Source organism: Homo sapiens, chromosome 4 (genome assembly GCF_000001405.40).
Source record: "Homo sapiens chromosome 4, GRCh38.p14 Primary Assembly".
Classification (NCBI taxonomy): domain Eukaryota; kingdom Metazoa; phylum Chordata; class Mammalia; order Primates; family Hominidae; genus Homo; species Homo sapiens.
Genome location: NC_000004.12, coordinates 132809100 through 132814754, shown reverse-complemented (window position 1 = coordinate 132814754; position 5655 = coordinate 132809100). Strand labels below are relative to the sequence as shown.

The following is a 5655-nucleotide window of genomic DNA, read 5'->3' as shown; positions in this document are numbered from 1 at the left end:
TGTAATCTCCTAAAAGCATACATTCATTTTACTAAAGGGACAGCCCTCTTCCCCCGCCCCCACCCCCCACAACTGTCAGCTAGACCAGTGCAATCCTATACAGGTTATTATCTCAAACCCTCAAAGTTCTTCCCCTTTTCCAAGCCAGTTCCCTTCTTTAAGCTGATTTTATGGTATGGGGGCTAAGGTTTCAGGGACAGACCCTATTGGATTCTTTGAAATGCATTTATTTGATCCCACACCACCTGCACCTTCCTCTAAGCCTTCTTCTAAAACCTCTCACAACAGAACAATTGCTCCTCTTCCATCTAACGACAAGACCAAGATAGCTATTGTAGAAGTTAAAGATTTAAAACAAACTTTGGCTATTAAGACAGGATACCAAGATGCAAATGCCTGGTTGGAATGGATCAAATATTCCATCCGCACGTTAAACAAAGCAATTGTTATGCTTGTGCGCACAACAGGCCAGAGGCCCAGATTGTCCCCTTTCCACTAGGGTGGTCCTCCAGTTGACCAGCATGGGCTGTAATGGTAGCTCTTTTCCAGGATTCTAAAGCCTGGAGTAACAAGTCGTGTCATACTCTCTCTCTGCTATATCCCGAAGTCCGTCACCCTGTGGGTCAGCCCCCAAGAGCCATCCAGCTTTCGTCTCCCAACACTAAGTTCACTTCGTGTCTCTCACAACAGGGAAGAAACTTAGCATTCCTTGGAGACCTGAAGGGATGCAGTGAGCTTAAGAATTTTCAAGAACTTATCAATCAGTCAGCCATTGTTCATCCCCAGGCAGATGTGTGGTGGTATTGTTGTGGACCTTTACTGGACACTCTGCCTGCCGAGTAACTAAAGTAGCACTTATGCTTTAATCCAATTGGCTATCCCTTTCACCCTAGCATTTCATCAACCAGAAAAAGAAAAGTAAGACATCATAAAGCGAGAGAAGCCCCTTATGGGCCTTTTGACTCTCACGTCTATTTAAACACAACTGGAGTCCCACGGGGAATGCTAGATCAATTTAAAGCCCAAAATCAAATAGCTGCAGGATTTCAGTCAATATTTTGGTGGGTGACAATTAATAAAAATGTAGGTTGGGTAAAGTACAGCTACTACAACCAACAGCGATTTATTAACTACACTAGAGATGTTGTTAAAGGAAGTGCTGAGCAATTAGGGGCTACTAGCCAGATGGCTTGGGAAAATAGGACAGCCTTAGACATGATATTAGCAAAAAGAGGAGGAGTTTGCATCATGATTAAAACTCAATGTTGTACCTTCATCCCAACAATACCGCTCCTGATGGAAGTATAACAAAGGCATTGCAGGGTCTGACTGCTCTGTCCAATGAGTTAGCCAACAACTCAGTGGTAAATGACCCCTTTACAGAATGGCTAGAAAAGTGGTTCAGTAAGTGGAAAAGGATAATAGCCTCAGTTCTTGCTTCCCTCACAGCTGTAATGGGTGTACTTATTCTTGTCAGGTTCTGTGTCACACTGTGCATCCGTGGGTTGGTGCAGAGGCTCATAAAAACGGCACTTACTAAAACCTCCCTTAACTATCTTCCACCTTAACCAGAGAAGCTGCTTCTTTTGGAAAATCAAGCAGAACAACTAAGCCAAGACATGTTAAAAAGTTTGAAAAGAAAGAGCTGTAAGGCAGTGCAAGAAGAGGGGTTGTTAGATATGAGTTCTAAATTTCTTTTCAAATAATCAATATGTCAGTATGTCCAATTCTTTGCCTACTACTTTTAAACTTAACTTCCTCATAAAGCAACCTTTTTCTACTGCCTGCTCCACCCTGACTCATTCCGATTACCTACTCCACCTGACTCATTCTGATTACCTGCTCTGTCAAAACCATTTTTCCCACCAAACCACTCACCCCATCACTCTCTTTAAATTAGCCAATCAGAATTAGTTTAGCCTGTGCAGTCTAACCCTAGCCAATAGGGGAATGAGACAGCAGCAGGGGCCACTTGTGTCAGGGGTACGAACTCCTTCCCCTCCCTTATCCAAGTGTGCACTCACCATTGCTCCTTCTGTAAGGGTGCACCCTTCTATAGAAGTAACTTGCCTTGCTGAGAATTAAAAAGAAAATTTTATGTTCGAGTGCTATTTCTTTTGAGGCACTGAAACTTTGTTTATAACAAATATATAAGAGATATGGAAGATTGTAGCACATGACAAATAATAAATGTTGGAGAAATTATGACATAAATGATGAGACCTAAAATGCAAAGTGTTACTGATTTTGAAGATAATTATTTTACAAAGATGATATGTTTGTAATTAAAAAAAAATAATGGTTGGGAGCAGTGGCTCACATCTGTAATCCCAGCACTTTGGGAGGCCAAGGCAGGTGAATCACGACATCAGGAGTTCAAGACCAGCTTGGCCAACATGGTGAAACCCCGTCTCTACTAAAAATACAAAAATTAGCTGGACTTGGTGGTGGGTGCCTGTAATCCCAGCTTCTTGGGAGGCTGAGGCAGGAGAATCCCCTGAACCTGGGAGGCGAAGGTTGCAGTGAGCCAAGATCACGCCACTGCACTCCAGCCTGGGTGACAGAGCGAGACTCCATCTCAATATAAAATAATAATAATAACAAAAAACTATAACCTTAAGTTGAATTTTTATAGTAGTTTTTAAATGAAAGGTACTCATTAAGTCTGTGGCAATATTTAAAAAAACAGATATATAGTACTAAAATTCCTGAATTTCAAGAATAAATAAAAATAGTCATATGTATTTACACAGGAAAATGATTATATAAAAATGAAAGAAGATCTCATAACTTTCTTAAGTACTTTAATGGGAGTTACATGACAGTTGAAATAAATTGACATTTGAGACAAAAGTCCTATACCCTCACAAAATTTACCATTAACGTGTTTAAAAGAAAATTTTTTCTTTCTATGGATTTGTCTCTTTCTATAGAATTTTCTGTATCTACTGATATATATATACATACATATATATATCAGATGTTAAATAATAGTTATATTCATATATATACAGGAGTTGTAGTTGAAGAGATAATATATATACACATATATGTGTATATATATCAGAGGTTAAAGAATAGTAATTATACTTATGATTAAAACAAAAGAAATATTTTTATTTCAACATCACTTTGGGTCAGAGACATGATGATGAAATATAATTTATTTGTTTTAATCATACACTCTGGGGTACTATTGATAGTCATCAGACATTCTCATAAGATATTTGATATGTACTAGAAGCTAGTCTTATTGAGTCACAAAAGAATTTAAAATATACACTTTTTAGAGATGAGGACATGTGAGTCCCTCCTTTCCTAACTAAAAGGAGAGAAAGCAGGGATTTGGGGACTTATGTGCAATTGCTGAGAATATGATTCTTTAGGCGTGTAATAAAACAGAAATACTCTGTTTAAGCCAGTGAAGTTATGAACATAAAGATAATGATATAACAGTGTTAATATAACTTCTGTCCCCTCTGGCAATGCTGTTGATTAATGATTGTTTGTAAAATCATTAACAGGTATGCTGAACTGGAAAAAATCCATTATTGTTTTTACATGTACAAAGTAAAAATGAGACCTAGAATAAATGTCTTAAAGTCATGTTTGTAAAAAATAAGGCATAATAAAACCACAGCTTTTTAATGACATGTTTTAGTGGAATTTTTTTCTACTTCTATATTTTTGTCTACCATGAAGGGTTTATTGATGTTCTGTTTGAGGTTATAACTCAATTCAACCAAATAAGGTCAGGGTCTCTGTTCAATTTCTGTACACTAATTAGTTAATGAGCATCACTTGCATTGTTAGAAGCTTTCTTTAAAAGTACCATGCTTGAAGAGACCGGAGGCAAAATTCTCCCATTAGATATCCATCTGTAACCATCACTAATTTGAATTGAAGTTTCTACATAAATAGCCTGGGGTAGAATTTAGATCTAGAAAACAAGATCTGGGAAAAGTCAGTAAATGTTTTATTTTTCTAATTCATTACTTTTGTAATTAATTTAACAATATCTACTTACAACATGTTTTCCAAAATGTTAATTGATTATTACAAAAGATAAATAATCTTACATTTTTGTTTTTGGATTATTCTCATATGTTTAGAAATAAACTTTACCTAAAGTGAATTGAAGAGTGAAAAAGAAGATGTTAAATGTACTTAATGGTTTCAAAATTGTAGTAATAAAGTCTTTCTTGTGATACACTGAAAGCAATTTCACACACATTGACTCCGATTCAGGATATGACAAGTACCTTTCTATATAAAGCGTTAAGCCACATAAGGGATTGAAATCAACTTGTTCAGATCCCTGGGGCACTTAACTGACCTAACTGATAATTAAAGATTGAGTAGGTTTTAGTTGAAAACAATAACTAATGTTATAAAATCAGAGGACTGCTGCTGCATTTTGCTTCTGTCGCATGTAAAATTAGCATTTTTCTCTATAATATTTTTAACTGGAATTGTGGCATGTATTATTCTTTGATCATTCCATTGTTAATATTTTTTGTGTTGTTTTACCTGAGGTTTATTGAGGGGTATAAGGATAAGAAATTTAGAAAAAGTACACGCGGTGAAGCTGTTACATTTCAGTATGGTATGTGCCCTTACACCATAATTTGGATAGTATTATTCAATTATCTTTTATTATGTTTTTATTAAGAAACATAAAATAATGGTGATGTTATTATTATTTTGCTTTGGAAACAGTAATATTAGATAGAGATACTTGGATGCGTTTCCAAATATGGGAGTCAATCCTTATCTTTTTGCAATACATTTTAAGCCAAACTGAAGTGGGAAAAGTTCCCTTATCCCCCTCACAGGGCTTGTGACAGGGACGTGAAATGACTGGCTTATTTGGTGCCCTGCTACTCAAACCCCTAGGGGGAGCATGCAGAGGAGCAGGTCATGGGGCTCCGACCCCGTGTCAGCCTCTAGGGTTGAGTGTTTGCAGCTTCAGAAGCCCCAGTGGGCATGTGTTACAGTGTGCTCTTTCTGTTTTGCTGTCTGCAGGCAGCTTGTGTTAATCAGCTCAATTAGACCCTCTGCCTTATCCCAAGGACAGAGGGCTTTCTGTATCCCGGGTTCTTGCTGTGGTGTACCAGAAAAATCAGATCACACGTGGGCTTGGAGGATGGGTGCAAGGTTTTATTGAGCGGAGGTAGCTTTCAGTGAGGTGGATGGGGAGGCCAGAAGGGGGATGGAGTGAGGAGGTGATCTTCCCCTGGAGTCGGGCCCCCCAGCATCCGGACTCTCCTCCAACTGAATTCCCCTTGGCATCCGTGACATTCCGCTGTGGATGGCCTGCCTGTGTCTGTCGGTGTGCTCTTCTGCTGGTGTGTTCCTCTAGACGTCCAGACGCTTGTGTGTGTGTCTGCTTAAGGTCTCGGGTTTAGATGGGCACGAGATGGTGGGTGTGGTGGGCCAGAAGGCAACTTTTTGGGTGTGAAAACAGAAATGGTTTAATTCACTTAGGTCTGTGGGCACAGGCCCGAGGGTGGAGTCCCCTTCAGGGACCCCGCCCTTCTCTACCCAGCACATCCCTACCCTGCTCCCATATCAAAATGTTCTTTATAGTAGTTAAAATAAATATATGCGTTTTTTTTAATTTTAGCATTTCACAAAAATTTTAAAAATATTGTT

General features: G+C 38.5%; 1 annotated feature.

Moving 5' to 3' along the window:
• Positions 4816-5315: an enhancer, noted in NCBI's record as "H3K4me1 hESC enhancer chr4:133730595-133731094 (GRCh37/hg19 assembly coordinates)". NCBI's record gives its function as "activates a minimal SCP1, AML or CMV promoter by ChIP-STARR-seq in naive H9 embryonic stem cells {active_cell/tissue: H9 hESC(naive)}" and the evidence as "EXISTENCE:reporter gene assay evidence [ECO:0000049][PMID:30033119]".